At 38.5% G+C, this 23,794-nt stretch overlaps 1 protein-coding gene across 7 annotated transcripts in view, besides 5 other annotated features; it reads right to left on the bottom strand.

The window, feature by feature from the left end:
- The window catches only part of HDAC9 (histone deacetylase 9), a 915,592-nt gene that overhangs the window by 809,299 nt on the left and 82,499 nt on the right, over positions 1-23,794 (bottom strand). The gene's annotated exons all lie outside the window — the stretch shown is intronic.
- Positions 14,688-14,797: an enhancer, noted in NCBI's record as "active region_25679". NCBI's record gives its function as "activates an Ori minimal core promoter by ATAC-STARR-seq in GM12878 lymphoblastoid cells {active_cell/tissue: GM12878}" and the evidence as "EXISTENCE:reporter gene assay evidence [ECO:0000049][PMID:35858748]".
- Positions 15,462-15,606: an enhancer, noted in NCBI's record as "145 bp enhancer 275 fragment used in the MPRA reporter construct; PK_construct_4683". NCBI's record gives its function as "activates an SV40 promoter by MPRA in K562 cells {active_cell/tissue: K562}" and the evidence as "EXISTENCE:reporter gene assay evidence [ECO:0000049][PMID:23512712]".
- Positions 15,526-15,543: a transcriptional cis regulatory region, noted in NCBI's record as "GATA motif; enhancer activity is reduced when this motif is scrambled". NCBI's record gives its function as "necessary for full MPRA enhancer 275 activity {active_cell/tissue: K562}" and the evidence as "EXISTENCE:site-directed mutagenesis evidence [ECO:0005528][PMID:23512712]".
- Positions 17,917-18,006: an enhancer, noted in NCBI's record as "active region_25678". NCBI's record gives its function as "activates an Ori minimal core promoter by ATAC-STARR-seq in GM12878 lymphoblastoid cells {active_cell/tissue: GM12878}" and the evidence as "EXISTENCE:reporter gene assay evidence [ECO:0000049][PMID:35858748]".
- Positions 18,027-18,176: an enhancer, noted in NCBI's record as "active region_25677". NCBI's record gives its function as "activates an Ori minimal core promoter by ATAC-STARR-seq in GM12878 lymphoblastoid cells {active_cell/tissue: GM12878}" and the evidence as "EXISTENCE:reporter gene assay evidence [ECO:0000049][PMID:35858748]".

Below are 23,794 nucleotides of genomic sequence, written 5' to 3'. Positions count from 1 at the left end.
GCATCTTTGATCCAATTTCTGGTCACAAAAATATAGCAATTTTTGAGCAAGGGTGAAAAATTGTAAAAGATGCATAGGTAATTAAACAGATTATAACAAGAGACCCCTGATGACAGATAAGCTGCCTCAAGGAGACCCACTCAAATAAAATGAGAATCAGCCTCTTTCAGTTTCCTCATCTGTAAAATGGGAGAAAAAGTCAATCAGTGGCTTTTAAGCTTTTTCAACAGCTACTCATACTGAGAAATACATATTAAATACAATGCACATATATATAGAAACATGCTTATCTATATAAAACTCATGCAGTCTCATAAATTAACACTAAATGTTACAACGTGTGTGCATTCTGGCATGTTGTATTTTAGCCTATTCTATTCCATTGTTGAATTGCAACCTACTAAATTGATTTCATGAGCACTGGACTAGATGATTTCTTCACAGTGCATTAAAAGAAAAATCGTGATTTTACTTAGAAACATTCTAAAAATACCTACCATCCCCAAATACTATATCCTTAATGACATTTCCAAAAGCAAATTCCTGAGTGAAATGATATAACCCCTACAACACCTTTACCTTCCCTTCTCCTCACAGTAAATACCCATGATTCCTTTCCACTCCACTGCTTTGCCAGTGATTTTCCCAGGGTGCATGACTACTACCAAATCTGGCAACGTAAGTGAGCACAAGAGGTTTTGCAATAAAAGTTAAACATCTACCCAAGGAACTCCCTTTTATCCATAACAAAGTGCATTTGAATATTTACAAATGCAATAGCTATGCAAAAGTCAGAATGATATTACGCAGCAGCAGCAAGCCACATCAATCTTAATTTTAATTAAATGAAAGACACTACCAAGAAGTTGCATTCTACCTGCCAAATATAAAGGATTTGCTCCCTGAAATAAAAAAAAATTAACTTTCTAGAATAGTATTTACCGTCACTTGTAGATTTTCCTAAACCACCACCTTCTACTGTGACACCCCCCCGCCCCCCGGCCGGGTTCATCCTACCTCATTTCCAGGAATGGACAGGAATCCCTGGTGAAAAATGAGTTGACTTTTGCATCAAGCAATACTGTACAATCACAATTAAGGGTTTTTTTCTAGCACATAGCTGGGGAAAGACCTTGTTTATGTCTTCTCGTCATAGCTTAGAAAGCACGTATAATGTCTCCTCAAGGGCAGCAATACAATCTTGACATAGAATCTAACAGTATTTGTGCTTGTCAATGATTTCAAAATGCTTTACTCTAAATCTTTTCTCAGTTTTCAAGTTTACAGGGCAAGGAAGAAATTAATGGATTTGGATATTTTAATCATTATAGTTTATAAAATGTAAAGCTGCAAATTCATAAGTTTTCAAAACATTTCAATTCATAAGTATCAAAGAAATACAAATGTCAAAAAAATTAAATTCATTGTCATCTTGTAATCAAAGAATTCTGTGTAGTTTACAAACTTGGCAAGCCACATTTTTATTTTTAATTTCTGAACTACTAATTCTGGAGGAAAAACAAACACCATTAACTTCCCCTTCAGTCACTAGCTGTCTGTGCCATGTGTGTTTATCGTTTCCTGCCACAAGGAAATACATTTGAAACAAAGAATGATATTCAAAGAGAGTTCTCTGGGTTTGTCTAAAATCATTCTCTCAGGAATTGAGAAACCGTGTAAAGAAACATGATTAAATTATGATACAGAGTGATAAGACTATGGAGAAAATCTTCACATTTTTGTCTTATTACATTATTTCATCCAGTGCTTACCAGGTCTGCAAAGATTATTTAATGAATAAACTGAGCGTAGTCAAGTTAAGTAACTTTTCTTCACCCACACAGCTAATAAATGGCAATATATCTTTCCTTCCTTATGATTTTCTTAATTTTTTTGTATAGCTTACTTTATTGTAAGAATACAGTATATAATACATACAACATAAAATAATGTGTTAATCAATGGTTTATGTTATCAGTAAGGCTTCCAGTCAACAGTAGGGTATTAATGGTTAAGTTCTCAGGGAGTCAAAAAGTTACACATGAATTTTCCACTGGGGGTGGTGATAGCACCCTTAATCCCTGTGTTGTTCAAAAGTCAACTATAGTTTGATCCCTGTGATTCTAAAAAATTATCACTTAATAGTATTCAAGTATTTATTGGTGATAGGGAAGTAGACTTTTGACAGTGGGTGAAATCCATGAGATAAATAATATTCCGCATGTTTTACAAAGGTAGGAGTTTACAAAGGTAAAACATGCATAATATTTAAATATTTAAAAGGAATTTGGGACATACAGAAATTTCTGAGAAGCAAAAAATCTGTAAATACACAGTGAGATGATACAAGTGATTTTAAAAGCTGAGTAATTTTACTTAATAAGAGTGAAAATTGGGAAAATAAAAAGAGAAAAGCAACAATCTTTATTTCAATATATTATTTAATAGCTATTTCAATGATAGCGTAGAAAGTTTTAGAGAAACGTTTTCCACTCCAACTTATTTTCTGGTCATTATTTTCCTCTTGCATCATAATCTTACAGTTAATGCCTTTTATCTTGCAATATTGGGTGGTCTTTTTATAAGCCAGTTTATAATTACAATTTTTTGACTTATAATGGGTTTATCAGGATATAGCCCCATTGTAAGTTGAGAAACATCTGTATAAATTTTGGCGAAGGCAAGTCATCTATGCATGTACATGTGTGTCCCTATCCCTAAGCACATATATTCAAACACACAAATACATATGCCCATAATCATTTATGTACACATATACACATATTTATTTATATACATTTATATATGTATATGTATCTATGTATACATGCCCAAAATTGGACAATCACATATGAGCTAAACAAGTTATTTATGGCCGGGCGTGGTGGCTCACGCCTGTAATCCCAGCACTTTGCGAGGGTAAGATTGGTGGGACAACTGAGGTCAGGAGTTTTGAGACCAGCCTGGCCAACATGGTGAAACCCCATCTCTACTAAAAATACAAAAAATAATTTGCCAGGCATGGTGGCAGGCACCTGTAATCCCAGCTAGTTGGGAGGTTGAGGCAGAAGAATTGCTTGAACCCGGGAGGCAGAGGTTGCAGTGAGCTGAGATCGTGCCACTGTACTCCAGCCTGGGCAACAAGAGCAAAACTCTGTCTCAAACGTACACACACACACACACACACACACACACACCACACACAAGTTATTTACAAGTTAAATCTTTTTATGTGTTTCACATTGTGCTCACATAAAAATATCTCATGCTCTTAAAAATGTGAGAAAAACACTTCTTTGGAGGATTCAATTTAATTAATGTGTCTTTGGGTTTTTTGACACTTGGTTTGCACCTCAGTAATGCGTGAGAAAGGGTGACTGGGAGGTCTCAGATATGACAAAGTGTCATCACATCAGATGACACTGGCTGACTACCTCAACACACAGTGCTAGCAAGAGACCTAGGATAATCACAGGCATGCACCTGTGTTCTGGGTCTTTGGGAGGAACACCAGTCTTACCATGCCCCACAAGGCTCTGTAAATCCTTGCAGATTCTGGCTCAGTATGGTCAAGTGGGGTCTGGGAACTCACATACTAATAAGCCCCACGTGATTCTTTTTTTTCTTTATTTCTTCTAAAACAAACAAACAAACAAACAAAAACAGGATACATGTACAGAATGTGCAGGTTTGTCACATAGGTATATATGTGCCATGGTGGTTTGCTGCACCTATTGACCTGTCCTCTAAATTCCCTCCCCTCACCCCCCACCCCTCAACAGGCCCTGGAGTGTGTTGTTCCCCTCTCTGTGTGATGTGTTCTCAATGTTCAACTCCTGCTTACGAGTGAGAACATGCGGTGTTTGGTTTTCTGTTCCTGTGTTAGTTTGCTGAGGATGATGGCTTCCAGCTTCATCCGTGTCCCTGCAAAGGACATGATCTCATTCCTTTTTATGGATGCACAGTATTCCATGGTGTATATGTACCACATTTTCTTTAGCCAGTCTATCATTGATGGGCATTTGGGTTGGTTCCATGTCTTTGCTATTGTAAATAGTGCTGCAATAAACATACATGTACATTTGTCTTTATAGCAGAATGATTTATATTCCTTTGGGCATATACCCAGTAATGGGATTGCTGGGTCAAATGGTATTTCTGATTCTAGATCCTTGAGGAATTGCCATACTGTCTTCCACAATGGTTGAACTAATTTTCATCCCCACCAACAGTGTAAAAGCATTCCTATTTCTCCAAAGCCTCGCCAGCATCTTATTGTTTCCTGACTTTTTAATAATCGCCATTCTAACTGGCATGAGATAGTATCTCATTGTGGTTTTGATTTGCATTTCTCTGATGATCAGTGATGTTGAGATTTTTTCACATGTTCGCTGGCTATGTAAACGTCTTCTTTTGAGAAGCGTCTGTTCATATCCTTTGCCCACTTTTTGATAGGGTTGTCTTTTTCTTGTAAATATGTTTAAGTTCCCTGTAAATTCTGGATATTAGACCTTTGTCAGATGGGTAGATTGCAAAAATTTTCTCCCATTCTGTAAGTTGCCTGTTCACTCTGATAGTTTCTTTTGCTGTGCAGAAGCTCTTTAGTTTAATTAGATCCCATTTGTCAATTTTGGCTTTTGTTGCAATTGCTTTTGGCGTTTTTGTCATGAAGTCTTTGCTCATGCCTACGTCCTGAATGAAACTGCCTAGGTTTTCTTCTAGGGTTTTTATGGTGTGAGGTTTTACATTTAAGTCTTTAATCCATCTTGAATTAATTTTTGTATAAGGTGTAAGGAAGGGGTCCAGTTTCAATTTTCTGCATATAGCTAGCCAGTTTTCCCAACGCCATTTATTTAACAGGAAATCCTTTCCTCATTGCTTGTTTTTGTCAGTTTTGTCAAAGATCAGATGGTTGTAGATGTGTGGTGCTATTTCTGAGGCCTCTGTTCTGCTCCATTGGTCTATATGTCTGTCTTGGTACCAGTACCATGCTGTTTTGGTTACTGTAGACTTGTAGTATAGTTTGAAATCAGGTAGCATGATGCCTCCAGCTTTGTTCTTTTTGCTTAAGATTGTCTTGGCTGCACAGGGTCTTCTTTGATTCCATATGAAATTTAAAATAGTTTTTTCTAATTCTGTGAAGAATGTCAATGGTATTTTGATGGGAATACCACTGAATCTATGAATTATTTTAGCCCCAGGTGATTCTTATCAGACAAGCCTGGGAAACATGAATTTTGTGCACAGGAAGAAGCACACTGAAGAAGGCTGAAAATATGGTTTGCCCTATACCCTTGACAGTAGGAATGCCTTGTGATTACTGACAATTTCTGTAGGCCATGGCAAGCCATGGAAGATTTTCGAGAAATTACATAATTAGATTTGTGCTTTAGTAAGATTCACTAGGCAACACTGTATGGATTAGGCTGAATGGAGGGGAGAGGGAAAGTAGACTAGTTCTAAGTCTAGTAGAATAGTAGCAGCAAGGAGTAATAAGTGCAAAAGGTTGGCAACAAAAATGGAAGACAAGGTTTGTCAAGATTGGAACAGATTTGATGTGGAGGGGAATAGAGTTAAGAGTTTTAAAGATGGTGCCATGGTTTTAACCACAGGTGGCTAAGAAAATATCTGTGATGTTCATAGAAAGAAGAAAGTCAAACGACTACTGAGTGAAGTATGAATAAATGAATTAACAAATAAATGGTCACAAGAAAAGCCACTTGCTAGAAAAGAAGATAGAATAGGGTTTTAATCCCAGTTCTACTTTTCTCCTTGCTAGGATGTGCCAGACATGCCTCTTAAACTCTCTGACCCTCAGTATCCTCATTTATAAGTAATGCCAGTAAAACCTATGTCACAGGATTGCTGTGAAGATTCAATGAGATTATATGTAACACTTTGTCCACATTAGGTGCTTAATAGACAATTTCATTTTTGCCCGCCTTTATTTTCACTGACTGTTATTTCCAATGACTTAAACCCATTCCAGGGACATAGTAGGTACTCAATGTACACTTATTGAATAATAAATTATTACTGCTATAATTCTATGAAGACTGAGAAAAGATCATAGGGTTTGCCCATTAGGCAGTAACTAATACACTGAAAGTTGCTTAAATGCCTAGGGGTTTTGAACACTTTGGGGAAGTAAAAGTCAGTCCAAGTATACCACACAGGCATTCTAATTTAAGTAGTTCTGTAGAGTAAATATTGTTTTACTTTTATTCTGCATGTTAAAGAGATAAAGACTTCCAATTAGAAAATAAAAATCTGCTTTTATTAACATTAACAGTTTTCAAAACCACCTTATGCTTTATTTAGAGTTTTTACAGTACATTATCTTATTTGATCATCTGTCCTTTGAAGTATGGAATTCAATTACCACATCATCATTTCTATTTTAAAGTTGAGAAAACTGAGATTCAGAAAAGTTGAGTGACTTTCAGGGCATGAAGAGCAGAGCCAGGAATTTAATTAAGGTCTTCTGACCACAAATTTTCCTGGCTTCCCACTCCTGACATTCCTCAAGCCACTTCATGTTAATCCAGAAGAGCTCTCTTCTATTTTCTCCCTACCCGAAGTTTTCCCTAAGATTTGGTAGTGAAGAGTGGGGCAGAGTCTTATGGGCTTTGGGAATTTTTGAGTGTCATGCTCCTTCCTTAAAACCCAACCAGCACCAGAAAGCACCATCCTACCACAAGTCCGGTGCCAGCGGCACATGCCAACACCAGCAGTGCACCTGTTCCTTGTTAGCTTCAACAGAAAAACCTGTTGCTCAGTTGGGAAATATCAAGACTGTCTTTTTGGAAAACGTCCCTGTAAAGAAGGTACAAGCTTTAATTTTAGTCTTAACCAGTCAGCTAAACAGAAAAATTTGTCTTCACAGAGGGTTAGCGCTACCTTGTTACCAGTGGCTACCGTGTTGGACTGCCTAAATTCAGATCCTGGCCCAGTCGATAACAAGAAATATAACTTTAGACATGTTAACCTAGCTAGGCAAGTCTCTAAGGCTTGGTTTTCCATCTTCAAAATAGGATTTTAGAAAATAGTCCTTACTCCATAGTGTTTTCAATCTGATAAAATGAGATATCACATATAAAGTACTTAATACACTTAGAACCTGAAATACAATGAACACTCAATAAATGGTCACTGCAATTCAGCAATATGTGATATCCCAGTTTTACAGAAAAAGCAACATAGGCCCAGAATGATCAAGATACTTTGCACGAAGTGACAAAATACCATTTTGTAAGAGTAATCATGCTTTCTTTATGGAGAAAAAAAATGCCCGAGATAATCGCTGGATTTTTTCATTGACTGCAAGTGTCCCATTTACTCCATTGATTTTAAATTATTCATTTGGAAATTAATGTACAGTTTCAATTCATAAGTTGGAACAATATGAAGGTAGGGGAAAACGAGGCCCATAGCTGAGATTTAATAATCTTGAATATAAGAAGATAAGTGAGTTTAAATACAAAGAGAAAAAAAAGGGGCTTTTTAAAAAGTATAGATATGTACTCTTATCTATGCTTGTAACAATATTTAAATGAGATTAATTTGTCTCTTTTCAAAATAGAACTAAAAGTTTAGTTTTCATAACTTAATAGACAATATTTCCTCTTTTAGAAAGGACATGTCATCTCCTAAATGGTAAGGATTTTATATTTATTTACTTTATCCTGTTCTTTGTGCTTTCCTGATGCTTGCTTTAATAGCAGTCCTCAACATTAGTTGCACATTATAATTACCTTGGAGGTTTAACGAATACTCACGCCTAAGCCTCATAAAAGTCAAATTAAGTCAGTATCATTGAGGTGGTGGTCCTGGTTCAGACTTTTGGTTTTCATTTTTAGTTCTCCAGGTTATTTTAATGTATAGTCCAAACTGAGAATCAGTGGCTTTCCTGATGTCTTTCAAATAACAAATGGACTTTTTTTGCCTCGATCACTGTCTGTAAGTAAAGTTGTTTGACTTCTAACCATAAAAATCACTTGCTTTGAAAGCCAGTCTTGGGCTTTATTGCAAATTAGTTTCATTTCCCATGATTCTAATCAAACACTTTTGTGATATTGCTATTCTATTAATTTTCCTAATAAAGTTAGGTGGGAAGAATTACATAGGCAGACCACATTTTACATAGCAACTCAATTACAGTACTAGAAAAAGAAATAGGACATGCAGGATACAGACTAAGGCAAGCTCTGCAGTATTTTTTAAGAGATTAGGTGTAAATCATAAATTTTAATAAAAATGTGACTCTGATACAATAGCACAAAAATACAGTACTATAATATTAAAATATCTGACACAACTATATAGCTGTTCTGAAATCCTTTTTATTCAATACCCTACACCTTTCAAATGAATATGCTGGATTCTGATTGTGAAATAATCCGAGGGTCAAGAGAACAAGACAAGCATAGAACATTTGATCTGGTTAATATAAGTTGAATATACCTATTTTGAAAATCTGAAATCCAAAATATTCCAAAATCTGAAACTTTTTGAACACCAACATGATGCCACACGTGGAAATTCCTCACCTTACCTCAGGTATACAAATTTTGTTTCGTGCACAAAATTATTTAAAATATTGAATAAAATTACCTTCAGGCTATTTGCATATGGTATGTATGAAACATAAATTAATTTCATGTTTAGACTTGGGTCTCATCCCCAAGATAGCTCATTATTTATTTTTTTATTTATTTGAGATGGAGTTTCACTCTTGTTGCCCATGCTGGAGTGCTATGGAGAGATCTTGGCTCACCGCAACCTCACCCTCCTGGGTTCAAGCAATTCTCCTGCCTCAGCCTCCCAAGTAGAGCTGGAATTACAGGCATGTGCCGCAACGCTCAGCTAACTTCGTATTTTTAGTAGAGACGGGGTTTCTCCATGTTGGTCAGGCGGGTCTCGAACACCCAACCTCAGGTGATCTGCCTGCCTCAGCCTCCCAAAGTGCTAGGATTACAGGCATGAGCTGCCGCGCCCGGCCAATAGCTCATTATTTATATGCAAATATTCCAAAATCCAAACAAATACAAAATCTAAAAACTTCTGGTCCCAAGCATGTCAGATGAGGAATACTCAACATGCAATAACAGGTAACAAAAAAATGTATAATTTATATATTTTAAAGGCAATAGTTTTATTTTCCTGGATTATTTAATAGTGACTTTTTATGCATACTCATTGTGAGAATGGTAGAATGAAAAAAGTTTCAGGGCACTCGAAGAGGAGGGGAGGAGAAAGACACTCAACAGCCCAGGATACTTTACCATTTATGTATTGTTACTTTAATACCTTAGTTTACAAACTGTTTAAAATGGCCAGGTGTGATGGCCCATGTCTGTAATCACAACACTTTGGGAGGCCAAAGCAGGAGGATCTCTTGAGGCCAAGATTTTGAGATCAGCCTAGGCAACATAGCGAGACCCCCATCTCTACAGAAAAATGAAAAATTTAAATTAAAGAAACTGTTTAAAATGACAAAAGTAGTGAAGTGTTCTGCCAATCTTCTTATGCTAGGATAACCTTCCAAAAGCAGCTATCTTCTGTGGGGGAAAAGATGGAGTAAGGTGAAAAAATGGAATCCAAGGAAGATCCCCAAGGATTTGAAACTGAATCAGGGTCACAAAAACAGGCAGCAAAAGTTGAGGAAATTCTTTAGATTTGTCTCCTTCTAGCCATCGTAATTATTATGTATGTAGAATCTGAAGCACAGGTAGAAAAATTCACGATTGAGGGATTGGTTCATTTGCTTACTTAAATATTCAAGGGCTTTTTTTAAAAAAACAAACCATGGCTGGGCGCCGTGGCTCACGCCTGTAATCCCAGCACTTTGGGAGGCCGAGGCGGGCGGATCACGAGGTCAGAAGATCAAGACCATCCTGGCTAACACGGTGAAACCCCGTCTCTACTAAAAATACAAAAAATTAGCCGGGTGTGGTGGCAGGCACCTGTAGTCCCAGCTACTCGGGAAGCTGAGGCAGGAGAATGGCGTGAACCCAGGAGGCGGAGCTTGCAGTGAGCCGAGATTGCGCCACTGCACTCCAGCACGGGCAACAGAGTGAGACTCCGTCTCAAAAAAAAAAAAAAAATCATATGTTAAGTGACTGGCAGCCATAAACAGGTATAAGATACTGCCCTGAAAGCTTCAGTGACATTTAGTCTTGTCCCTCTACTCTTCTCTCTTTCTTCCGTTTTTTAATTGATAAGGTGATGCTTGCTGACTACCCAAGTTTTTGACTGTGACCTCTCTTCTGATGATTCTTAAATTCCTGTCTTTGAATTCAACTACTCTTCATCAGCCTTATTCTCAAGCCAATCTCCTGACAACTAGCAGAACTGTGGTTAACAATACAAACTCTGGAATTAAGGTACCTGGATCCAAGAGCTAGATTTACTGTAAGACCTTGATAGAGCAAGATAACTAACCCCTCAAAGTCTCAATTTCCCGTCTGTAAAATGGGATAAGAATAGTACCTACCTCAAGGCTTATGAAAATAATTCATTGACATAAAGAAAATGCAGTGAAAGCCCCTGGCTTGTGAGAAAAACTCAACAAATGCTAGCTATCTTTTCCATCAATATGTCTCACTCCCACTAATTCTACTGTCATTCTTGAACTTTTAAATTACCTTTGTTACCTCCCACTATGTTTGTCTGTTTTCCCGTCAGTCATCACATATTGGCTATTCTTCTTTTGAAACACTTTAAAACATTCCTCTCCATTTTTATTTCCCCCACAGAAGCCTGCTCCTAATACTTGTACGACATAGAGCAAGAGTACAAATGGAAGCCCAGAAATCATGTTTCTAAATTTTTAAAAAGTATATATCAACCTATTACCTGTCAAATAAAATACATTTTACCCTCCTGCCTTGAAAAAATATACCTTCACAATGACCTAGAGGACCAGATTTAAATTTAGAATTCTCAAGCTCTTCAAGTTTCCAGGCCAGAAAGTCTCAGCAAAAGGAGAGAGAATTGGTGCCTAGATCTTGGCTCCTGGGCCCTGCTGCCAGCCATGACACACACCTTTTCCCCTACTCCAGACCTCTGTGGATTCCCTTTCCTCCACCCTCCCCTAATCAATGCCTGTTGAAATTTTACACATCCATCAAGGATATTTCAAACACTTCCGTCTTCAAATTTCCCTTGAGCCAGATGTGATCTCATTTTCCTCTGAGTATCCAAACTATTTTGTTTCTATATATCCTGAGAAAACTTACAGTATTTTGACTTGCATTTGTATCAGTACCCTTGTATTTGGTTTTCCTATTCTTCAGACCACAGGTTCTCTCTGTTCAATGCCCTCAGCATGTAAGAATCTGCTAATAAGATTTTTTTAAAGGACCCCTGGGCTCCACCTAGAACCAAGCACAAGGTGGGGTAGGGGGACAGGTATGAGTAGTTTGTAAAGGCCTGCTATTGATGCTGATGTGCAGCCAGGGTTGACAAAAATTGTATAATTGTGGTGGAGGTCTAAACTTTATTTTTGTACTCAATATATACACCTGAATTGAATTTAAGCTGATGCGTGCTTTGACCTCTGTAAAATACTTTCTGGTCCACAGGCTACACTACACATAATCCTTGTAGTTACTGAAATGATTTACAAGTACTGAGGCATGCTGGTGGCTTGTGCTCCAGAACTGTGCAAAAGGAGACATACAAAGAATTAATCCAATAGTCTAAATTGTCTCTTTTACCTTTATTTTAGCATTTATTCTGTATGGTAATCTCACCAACAATATAATGAATTTACTAAAGGCATGATCAGTGGGTTATTCCTATTGCCTAGAACAGTGTCTGGCACATATTAGGCATGAAATAAAAGTTTGGTGAATGAACAAATGAATGAAATGAATAGCAATTACAAGCCAAGCCAGCATGACTTCAGATATTATTTCAGGCGTTTAGTAGCTGAATAACAACCTCCCAAAAGATACCCACATCCTTATCCCTAGAACTTGTGAATGTTACCTCTTAGGGAAAAAAAAGGACTTCCCAGACATGCTTAAAGGTTCTGAGATGGGGAGATTATCTCAGATTATCCAGGTGGTCCCAAAATACAATCACACATATGCATATAAGAGTGAAGGAGGAGGAGATTTGACACACACGCAAAAGAAGGCAATGTGACCCCAAAGGCAAAGACTGGAGTGATACAGTCACAAACCAAAGAATGCCAGCAGCCACCAGATGCTAGAAGAGATAAGAAACAGATTGTCCCCTGGAGTCTTTGTGGGGAGCAAGGTCCTACTGACACCTTCATTTCAGCCCAGTGAAACTGATTTTGGACTTCTGGCTTCTGGAACTGTGAGAAAATACATTTCCTTTGTTTTAGGCCACCAAGTTTGTGGTAATTTGTTACAGCAGCCACAGGAAACTAATACAAGATAGAAAACTGATATCCAGAGAGATAAAGTAACTTGTTCTCAAAGGCCCAAAGTTAGTTAGGGCAGATTGGGGTTTCCAACAGGTATTTCTTGGCTCCTTCTGGTATTCTTATTCTTTCCAATTTACTCTGCTACCTGCCACATGTTATACAGCCCATTGAGTTCTGACACTCTTTGATCTAATCTAGGTACCAAATACAACCTCTCATATGGCCGCAGGATGGAAATTGTAAAATGATCAATCTCTCATACTCATCAATCTTATCAGTGACTTAGCTGATTTGGAAAAAAAAAAGAAAAAAGAAAATCACTTGACAAAAATGACAAAACAAAGTTGCTAGCACAAGGTCCAGAAAGAAACACAGAGCAAACATTTTCAATGCACCATATATAATGAATTTACAGCAGCAAATGTCCATAGGTTAAGAATGTGGTGTGTGTGTGTGTGTGTGTGTGTGTGTGTGTGTGTGTGTGTGTGTGTATGTGTCTTGGGGAGGGTGCTCACAAGAAATGCTGGCATGACAAACAGTGTAAAAACACATCAAAAGATGAAGCAAGGCAACTAAGGCGCTCACTACTGGGGGTAGGATAAAGTAAGGAGCTGACATGTAATTTGAAAAGGATGGCATAATTCTATGTGCTCAAAAGTGAGCAAACCTAAAGACAGAGACAAATCTGGAAATTGTGACAGAGCTGGGAGATGATGGTTTTAGGCCTCAATCTCATCAGTGTGGAGAGGCTTATAGACATGAGATTTTTGTGACATTCAAAAAAGGATAGTTACAGGTCACGGTTGAGAGAAAAAAGCACATATTTATGTGTGATCATTCTAAATGAACATGTGATACTTTACTATCTCTTGTACAATTACATCTTTTATGATACCAACATAACAAATTCATGACATATTTTCCAAATGAGGAATCTGGGACAAAGGGAGATTTACTAAATAAAAGATAGATGACAGGTGTTTCCAGAGCTGCGTTTAAGTCCTTGGGCTTTTACTAAGAACTTCAAATATGCATTTGTATAATTTCTCATTAATAGATAAACAGATAAGGTAATAAAATATTCAAAGAAAAGACGTTTGGGTTTATTTAGACCCAATGAGTGTGAACACCATTTTTCCTTAGGAGAGGGAGGGTAGAGAATGGAAAGAAATATAAGAGAGGTAGAAGCAAAAAAAACAAAGCTTATTCATCCTTATATAGTGGTTAAGAACATAGAACCCCAACAGGATATAAACATTTCTTTAATGATCCTGCAGTAATAACAAGCAAAATAAACAGTCAAACCTTAACATGTCCCTCCTCCCTTAGGACCTCAGCTTTACCTTGTAGTTTAAGAATTAGTCACTCATTTGGACTGGGGCAAGTCCCTATGGATTCAGAGAGTTTGCAATCAACTAATGGGTTATGGCATTATTGTTAGTGGATGATACCCCACAGGAGGCTGGACTATTGCATCAGTCAGGGTAAAGACATACTTGCTATGTGTGTGACAAACAAAAGCCTACCCAAGGTGGTTCCTCAGAGAACTCTGAATGAAAGACATGCAGTGCTTGCTTGTTCCACATCTGTTATTTCCATAATCTTTAGAAAAATAAGCTTCCTGGGCAAATATGAAAGGAACTCCATTTGACCAGATACATTCCAAAGTAAGAGATCTTGTTCTCCATTAAATGCCATACCACAACACTGTCAAATAATGAAGCCAAAAACACATCTTTAATGGAGACACACAGAAAGTTTAAGATCCTAATTTAATCTTAATAAAGACTTCAACCATTATATTAAAATATTTATTAGTCTATCACTTTAAATAAGAGGAACTGAAAATGTATACAGATTGAAAAGTCACAAATTTTAAGCCGGATGTTTTCCTTTCTATGTATTTTACTGAAGGTCCTCAGAAACGTAGTATATTTAAAAGTTACTGCTAATTATACAGTATGCAAAACTGTATTACTTTTTAAAAGTATAAAGAATGTTGGATCAATGAATTCTAAACTAACTTAAAACAATTTCCTGCTCAACCACAATTAAAAATCATGTCACTCTTTCCACTATTCTTAACCACAATACATATTTGTTTTGGGAGAGAGGTGGTTTATAAGCATTGAAACAGGGAGAAGTTCAAGTTACTAAAAGGAAAGAGGGTGGTAGGTCTGCTTCTACCGCTGTGCTAGCTGAAGAAGAGCCAAACTTAGCAACTTCCCCACATTTAGAGAACTCAGTATGAAACCACAAGTCTTGCAAACAATGACTACCCTATTGCAATGTTTGTTGTTCAATGAATAGATAAGCCACCTTAGAAAGAGGGGGGCCGGGTGCAGTGGCTCACGCCTGTCATCCCAGCACTTTGGGAGCCCAAGGCATGCAGATTGCCTGAGGTCAGAAGTTCGAGACAAGTCTGGCCAACATAGTGAAACCCTGTCTCTACTAAAAATACAAAACAATTAGCCAGCATGGTGGCATGTGCCTGTAATCCCAGCTACTCGGGATGCTGAGGCAAGGGAATTGCTTGAACTAGGGAGGTGGAGGTTCCAGTAAGCCAAGATTGTGCCACTGCACTCCAGCCTGGGTGACAGAGCAAGACTCTGTCAAAGAGGAGAGGGGAGGGGAGGGGAGGTGGAGGAGGGAACGGGAGGGAAGGGGAGGTAGGGGGATGGAGGAAGTTCAGTGGATAGCACTAGAGGTGAAAAGAACCGAAAGTCAACAAATGAATAAGCAAAAAGAAAAGGGATATGATTCATGACACATATGAAACAGTTTGGTTTTGCTCAGGTATATTCAACTGCTTCCCTCCTCCCCAATTCCATGCCCCTAGCACCACTATAATCAGCCTCCTCACAAAGTGCCCTTTATTCTTCACTTATTTGGCTCCTTTTGTGTGCTGGGCAGTATATTACTTAACTAAGAGAGCAACCATAAATACAGCTGCCAACTGCTTCACTCTATATACACCCCACAAAATGTACTTAGATGTCCCTTGCCCTCAAAAAGCTAAGCCTATTAGAGAAGACAACCCCAGTACTAAGGTAAGTTCCAGAACTGAGAGAGGTAACAAATGTCAGCGTCACCCAGGAAGGCCTCACAGAAGAATGGAGTAGGAGCTGGGTGTTGAAGATAAGTAAACAGGACACTCCCAGTGGTGAGGAAGGGTCATTCAAAGGCCTCCAAGCAAGAAAACTGGACCTGGGGAAGGTAAGCAGCTCTACATGTTGAACAGAGTGGGGTTCATTGAGGAGAAAAATAAGATAAGCCTGAAAAGGGTACGGGTTCTTATATACCTTAAATAGATGTGATAGAGAGCCACTGACATTTCTTATACAGGGCAGTGACTATATCAGAGTTAGGCTGAGAAGAGATTAATCGCACCATAGACAACAGACTTGCTAATCAGGAAGCTCAGACACAGATCCATCCGTCTTCAAGCAACTTCACAGAATTTAAATGCAGGTACTAACAGGGTGTACCCAATTTCCCTTCATTTCCCTTCCTCCTCACGTATTTTATTTTCCATAACTTACTTATATAGACCCCAAATCTTTTCTGGACTTAGGCAGAATAAAAGAAAAAGAAAGAAAACTAAGAAAGGTAGGAAGGCAGATGGGTAGGCGGATTATCAGTTCTCCCAACAGAAGGGAAAATGACATACAATGTCTACTTTGACATACTTTATTGAAATTCAAAGACTCGATAGTGTACATTACCTAACTCAAGTTATGGTATGTATTATTTTTCCAATATCTATAGTTGGCTTCCTGCATTTTTCTGCTAATTTCTAGGTTCTTTCATTGACATACCACGACCTGTTAAAATCTTTCAATTTACTGTTTCACTTTAAACATAAAGCCAAAGTAAGATACATCCAACTCTTCTTTAATAAAAAAGGAAGCACAATAATACAGACAAAAGGATAAAAATGCATTAAAAAATAACATAAAAATTATCCAAACATGATGAAATAATCTGTACACCAAAGCCCTGTGACACACAGTTTACCTGTATAACAAATCTGCACATGTACCTCTGAACTGAAAATAAATTTTTTAAAAAATTACCCAAACAGAATTTTCATAGCTGTATACTTTCATTTTCTAAGAGTTTAAAAAAATCTCTAATTATAATAATTTTTCAATACACATAAAATGATAGGAGACAGGGCTTTTGGAAGATCTAGTTAACAGTCACTGGGTTAATAACTTATTTTACAGACAGTATACCCTAAACAATAGTAACATATCCCAAAATTTACATGTCCATGAACCACCAAGCAAATATTTGGAATTCCAGTGACAAACCAAACAAGTAACTACAATGACTTGCAATATTTTTTTCCTTATCAGACAGAGATTTCAAAAACAGAGGTTCAAGATAACAGTCTGGCTTTTCCCATTTGTACGGCATTCCTGGATCTTCAGAAAGCACTGGAGATCTCAAGACCAGAAAAACACAGGGAAGGAAATCAAGCAGGCTTTCCAGTAACAGCAGACCGAAAAACTGTCACCAGCTTTTATTAAACATGTTTACATTCCTAGAGAGTCCAAAACTCATGACTAGTTTTTCTCATGAATAATGTCATTTTGACATTTCTTTCTGAAAAACAATTTCTTCTGAGAGTTAAAGATAAAAGGTGAGTGCTTGGTCATACACCACTATGATTATCTGCCCTCTCACAGAACTCACAGAATTCCAAAGAAGGCAGAATTACTAGGGCAAATTCCAGCTCCAAAGGAAAAATCCCCAGCTCACCCAGAACACTTTCCAGTGGAACTACATTACTGGTATGAAGAGAACATTTTCTTGGACATTAAGAGCCTGGGAGAAAAGGTTAATTATGCAATGATATGTGAGGAGCAACCATCTATCATAAGCAGCAAGAGCCTTATATAATCAAGTGCCAGGAAGTTATTCTAAAAAAAGGGGGGGGGGGGTTAAAAATAATTTTACAGATTACCTCAAAGCTTATCAATTTCCTATAAATCAATACAATATTTTTTAAAAGTTCACCAATAATATGGTCATGAGTCTTTCATTTGGATATTAAAGCAACTCCAAAGCAACACAAATCAACACATAGGCATGCATTATAAAACTATGGACTGGTCCGTTCCAAGATGGCCAAATAGGAACAGCTCCAGTCTGCAGCTCCCATCGTGATCAACACAGAAGACAGGAGATTTCTGCATTTCCAACTGAGATGCCTGGTTCACCTCACTGGGACTGGTTGGACAGAGGGTACAGCCCATGGAGGGTGAGCTGAAGCAGGGCAGGGCATCACCTCACCTGGGAAGTGCAAGGAGTTGGGGAATTCCCTTTCCTAGCCAAGGGAAGCCATGACAGATGGTACCTGGAAAAACGGGACACCACCCAACCAAATACTGCGTTTTTCCAATAGTCTTAGCAAATGGCACACCAAAAGATTATATCCCACTCCTGGCTTGGCAGGTCCCACACCCACAGAACCTTGCTCACTGCTAGCGTGGCAATCTGAGATGGACCTGCAAGGCAGCAGCCTGGCAGGGGGGAGGGGTGTCCGCCACTGCTGACGCTTGAGTAGATAAACAAAGTGCTCAGGAAGCTAGAATTAGGTGGAGCCCACCACAGCTCAGCAAGGCCCGCTGCCTCTGTAGACTCCACCTCTAGGGGCAGGGTATAGCTGAACAAAAAGCAATAGAAACTTCTGCAGACTTAAACGTCCCCTTCTGACAGGCCTGAAGAGAGCAGTAGTTCTCCCAGCATGGTGTTTGAGATTGGAGAACGGACAGACTGCCTCCTCAAGTGGGTCCCTGGCCGCCATGTAGCCTAACTGGGAGACATCTCCCAGCAGGGGCAGAATGACACCTCATACAGGCAGGTGCCCATCTGGGATGAAGTTTCCAGAGGAAGGATCAGGCAGCAATATTTGCTGTTCTGCAGCCTCCACTGGTGATACCCAGGCAAACGGCGTCTGGAGAGGACCTCCAGCAACCTCCAACAGACCTGCAGCTGAGGGTCCTGATTGTTAGAAGGAAAACTAACAAACAGAAAGGAATAGCATCAACATCAACAGAAAGGACATCTACACCAAAATCCCATCTGTAGGTCACCAACATCAAAGACCAAAGGTAGATAAAACCACAAAGATAGGGAGAAACCAGAGCAGAAAAGTTGAAAATTCTAAAATCCAGAGCACCTCTTCTCCTCCAAAGGATCGCAGCTCCTCGCCAGCAATGGAACAAAGCTGGACGGAGAATGACTTTGATGAGCTGACAGAAGCAGGCTTCAGAAGGTCAGTAATAACAAACTTCTCCAAGCTAAAGGAGGATGTTCGAACCCATCGCAAGGAAGCTAAAAACCATGAAAAAAGATTAGACAAATGGCTCACTAGAATAAACAGTGTAGAGAAGACCTTAAATGACCTGATGGAGCTGAAAACCATGGAATGAGAACTACATGACGCATGCACAAGCTTCAATAGCCGATTCGATCAAGTGGAAGAAAAGGTATCAGTGATTGAAGATCAAATTAATGAAATAAAGCAACAAGACAAATTTACAGAAAAAAAGAGTAAAAAGAAACAAACAAAGCCTCCAAGAAATATGGGACTATGCGAAAAGACCAAATCTACATCTGATTGGTGTACCTGAAAGTGATGGGGAGAATGGAAATGAGTTGGAAAACACTCTTCAGGATATTATCGAGGAGAACTTCCCCAAACTAACAAGACAGGCCAACATTCAAATTCAGGAAATACGGAGAACATCACAAAGATACTCCTCCTCGAGAAGAGCAAACCCAAGACACATAATTGTCAGATTCACCAAGGTTGAAACGAAGGAAAAACTGTTAAGGGCAGCCAGAAAGAAAGGTCAGATCACTCACGAAGGGAAGCCCATCAGACTAACAGCTGATCTCTCTACAGAAACCCTACAAGCCAGAAGAGAGTGGGGGCCAAAATTCAACATTCTTAAAGAAAAGAATTTTCAACCCAGAATTTCATATCCAGCCAAACTAAGTGAAGGAGAAATAAAATCCTTTACAGACAAGCAAATGCTGAGAGATTCTGTCACCACCTGGCCTACCTTACAAGAGCTCCTGAAGGAAGCACTAAACACGGAAAGGAAAAACCGGTACCAGCCACTGCAAAAACATGCCAAATTGTAAAGACCGTCAATGCTAGGAAGAAACTGCATCAACTAACTGGCAAAATAACCAGCTAACATCATAATGACAGGATCAAATACACACATAACAATATTAACCTTAAATGTAAATGGGCTAAATGCCCCAATTAAAAGACACACACTGGCAAATTGGATAAAGAGTCAAGACCCATCAGTGTGATGTATTCAGGAGACCCATCTGACGTGCAGAGACACACATAGGCTCAAAATAAAGGGATGGAGGAAGATCTACCAAGCAAATGGAAAGCAAAAAGAAAACAGGGGTTGCAATCCTAGTCTCTGATAAAACAGACTTTAAACCAACAAAGATCAAAAGAGACAAAGCAGGCCATTACATAATGGTAAAGGGATCAATTCAACAAGAAGAGCTAACCATACTAAATATAAATGCACCCAATAGAGGAGCACCCAGATTCATAAAGCAAGTCCTTAGAGACCTACAAAGAGACTTGGACTCCCTCACAATAATAATGGGAGACTTTAACACCCCACTGTTAATATTAGACAGATCAACGAGACAGAAAGTTAACAAGGATATCCAGGACTTGAACTCAGCTCTGCACCAAGCAGACCTAATAGACAGCTAGAGAACTCTCCACCCCAAATCAACAGAATATACATTCTTCTCAACACCACATCGCACTTACTCCAAAACTGACCACACAGTTGGAAGTAAAGCACTCCTCAGCAAATGTAAAAGAAGAGAAATTATAACAAACTGTCTCTCAGACCACAGTGCAATCAAATTAGAACTCAGGATTAAGAAACTCACTCAAAACTGCACAACTACAGGGAAACTGAACAACCTGCTCCTGAATGACTACTGGGTAAATAACAAAATGAAGGCAGAAATAAAGATGTTCTTTGAAACCAGTGAGAACAAAGACACAATGTACCAGAATCTCTGGGACACATTTAAAGCAGTGTGTAGAGGGAAATTTATAACACTAAATGCCCACAAAAGAAAGCAAGAAAGATCTAAAATCAACACCGTAACATCACAGTTAAACGAACTAGAGAAGCAAGAGCAAACAAATTGAAAAGGTAGCAGAAGGCAAGAAATAACTAAGATCAGAGCAGAACTGAAGGAGATAGAGACATAAAAAACCCTTCAAAAAAATCAATGAATCCAGGAGCTGGTTTTTTGAAAAGATCAACAAAATTGGTAGACTGCTAGCAAGACTAATAAAGAAGGAAAGAGAGAAGAATCAAATAGACGCAATCAAAAATGATTAAGGGGATATCACCACCGATCCCACGGAAATACAAACTACCATCAGAGAATAGAATACTATAAAAACCGCTATGCAAATAAACTAGAAAATCTAAAAGAAATGGATAAATTCCTAGACACATACACCCTCCCAAGACTAAACAAGGAAGAAGTTGAACCTCTGAATAGACCAATAACAGGCTCTGAAATTGAAGCAATAATTAACAGCCTACCAACCAAAAAAAGTCCAGAACCAGACGAATTCACAGCCGAATTCTACCAGAAGTACAAAGAGGAACTGGTACCATTCCTTCTGAAACTATTCCCATCAATAGAAAAACAAGGAATCCTCCCTAACTCATTTTATAAGGCCAGCATCATCCTGATACCAAAGCCTGTCAGAGACGCAACAAAAAGAGAATTTTAGACCAATATCCCTGATGAACATCGATGCAAAAGTCCTCAACAAAATACTGGCAAACCAAATCCAGCAGCACATCAAAATGCTTATCCACCACGAACAAGTTGGCTTCATCCCTGGGATGCAAGGCTGGTTCAACATACGGAAATCAATAAACATAATCCATCACATAAACAGAACCAATGACAAAAATTAAATGATTATCTCAATAGATGCAGAAAAGGCCTTAGACAAAATTCAACAGCCCTTCATGCTAAAAATTCTCAATAAACTAGGTATCGATGGAACATATCTCAAAATAATAAGGCCTATTTATGACAAACCCACAGCCAATATCATACTGAATGGGCAAAAACTGGAAGCATTCCCTTTGAAAACTGGCACAAGACAGGGATGCCCTCTCTCACCACTCCTATTCAACATACTGTTGGAAGTTCTGGCCAGCGCAATCAGGCAAGAGAAAGAAATAAAGGGTATTCAATTAGGAAAAGAGGAAGTCAAATTGTCCCTGTTTGCAGATGACATGATTGTATATTTAGAAAACCCCATCATCTCAGCCCAAAATCTCCTTAAGCTGATAAGCAACTTCAGCAAAGTCTCAGGATACAAAATCAATGGGCAAAAATCACCAGCATTCCTATACACCAATAACAGACAAACAGAGAGTCAAGTCATGAGTGAACTCCCATTCACAATTGCTTCAAAGAGAATAAAATACCTAGGAATGCAACTTACAAGGGATGTGAGGACCTCTTCAAGGAGAACTACAAACCACTGCTCAATGAAATAAAAGAGGATACAAACAAATGGAAGAATATTCCATGCTCATGGATAGGAAGAATCAATATCTTGGAAATAGCTATACTGCCCAAGGTAATTTATACACTCAATGCCATCCCCATCAAGCTACCAATGACTTTCTTCACAGAATTGGAAGAAACTACTTTAAAGTTCGTATGGAACCAAAAAAGAGCCCGCATTGCCAAGACAATCCTAAGCCAAAAGAACAAAGCTGGAGGCATCACGCTACCTGACTTCAAACTATACTACAAGCCAACAGTAACCAAAACAGCATGGTTCTGGTACCAAAACAGAGATATAGAACAATGGAACAGAACAGATGCTTCAGAAATAACACCACACATCTACAACCATCTGATCTTTGACAAATCTGACAAAAACAAGAAATGGGAAAGGATACCCTGTTTAATAAATGGTGCTGGGAAAACTGGCTAGCCATATGTAGAAAGCTGAAACTGGATCCCTTCCTTACACCTTATATAAAAATTAATTCAAGATGGATTAAAGACTTAAATGTTAGACCTAAAACCATAAAAAAAACCCTAGAAGAAAACCTAGGCAATACCATTCAGGACATAGGCATGGGCAAGGACTTCATGACTAAAACACCGAAAGCAACAACAACAAAAGCCAAAATAGACAAATGGGATCTCATTAAACTGAAGAGCTTCTGCACAGCAAAAGAAACTATTATCAGAGTGAACAGGCAACCTACAGAATGGGAGAAAATTTGCAATCTATCCGTCTGACAAATCTACAAAGAATTTAAACACATTTACAAGAAAAAAAACAACCCAGCCCATCAAAAAGTGTGCAAAGGATATGAACAGACACTTCTCAAAAGAAGACTTTTATGAAGCCAATAGACACACGAAAAAATGCTCATCATCACTGGTCATCAGAGAAATGCAAATCAAAACCACAATGAGATACCATCTCACACCAGTTAGAATGGCAATCATTAAAGAGTCAGGAAACAACAAATGCTGGAGAGGATGTGGAGAAATAGGAACACTTTTACACTGTTGGTGGGAGTGCAAACTAGTTCAACCATTGTGGAAGACAGTGTGGCAATTCCTCAAGGATCTAGAACTAGAAGTACCATTTGACCCAGCAATCCCATTACTGAGTATATACCCAAAGGATTATAAATCATGCTGCTATAAAGACACATGCACATGTATGTTTATTGCGGCACTATTCGCAATAGCAAAGACTTGGAACCAATCTAAATGTCCATCAATGATAGACTGGATTAAGAAAATGTGGCAAATATACACCATGGAATACTATGCAGCCATAAAAAGGATGAGTTCATGTCCTTTGCATGGATATGGATACAGCTGGAAACCATCATTCTCAGCAAACTATCACAAGGACAGAAAACCAAACACCACATGTTCTCACTCATAGGTGGGAACTGAACAATAAGAACACTTGGACATAGGGCGGGGAACATCACACACCGGGGCCTGTCGTGCGGTGGGGGACAGGGGGAGGGATAGCATTAGGAGAAATATCTAATGTAAATGATGAGTTAATGGGTGCAGCAAACCAACGTGGCACATGTATACCTATGTTAACAAACATGTACGTTGTGCACATGTACCCTACAACTTAAAGTATAATTTAAAAAAAAAGAAAAAAAAACTGATGTATCATAACTGCAAGGAAAAGTATGGCAAAATTAAAACCATAACGATGCCTCACCCGCTGGAAACTCAAAATTCTGTAAATCTATAGACTAAAGACAGAAGAACCGAGAAAATAAGAGGGGT

The sequence above is a fragment of the Homo sapiens genome, chromosome 7 (genome assembly GCF_000001405.40).
Source record: "Homo sapiens chromosome 7, GRCh38.p14 Primary Assembly".
Lineage (NCBI taxonomy): Eukaryota > Metazoa > Chordata > Mammalia > Primates > Hominidae > Homo > Homo sapiens.
This window is presented reverse-complemented; position numbering and strand designations above follow the sequence as displayed.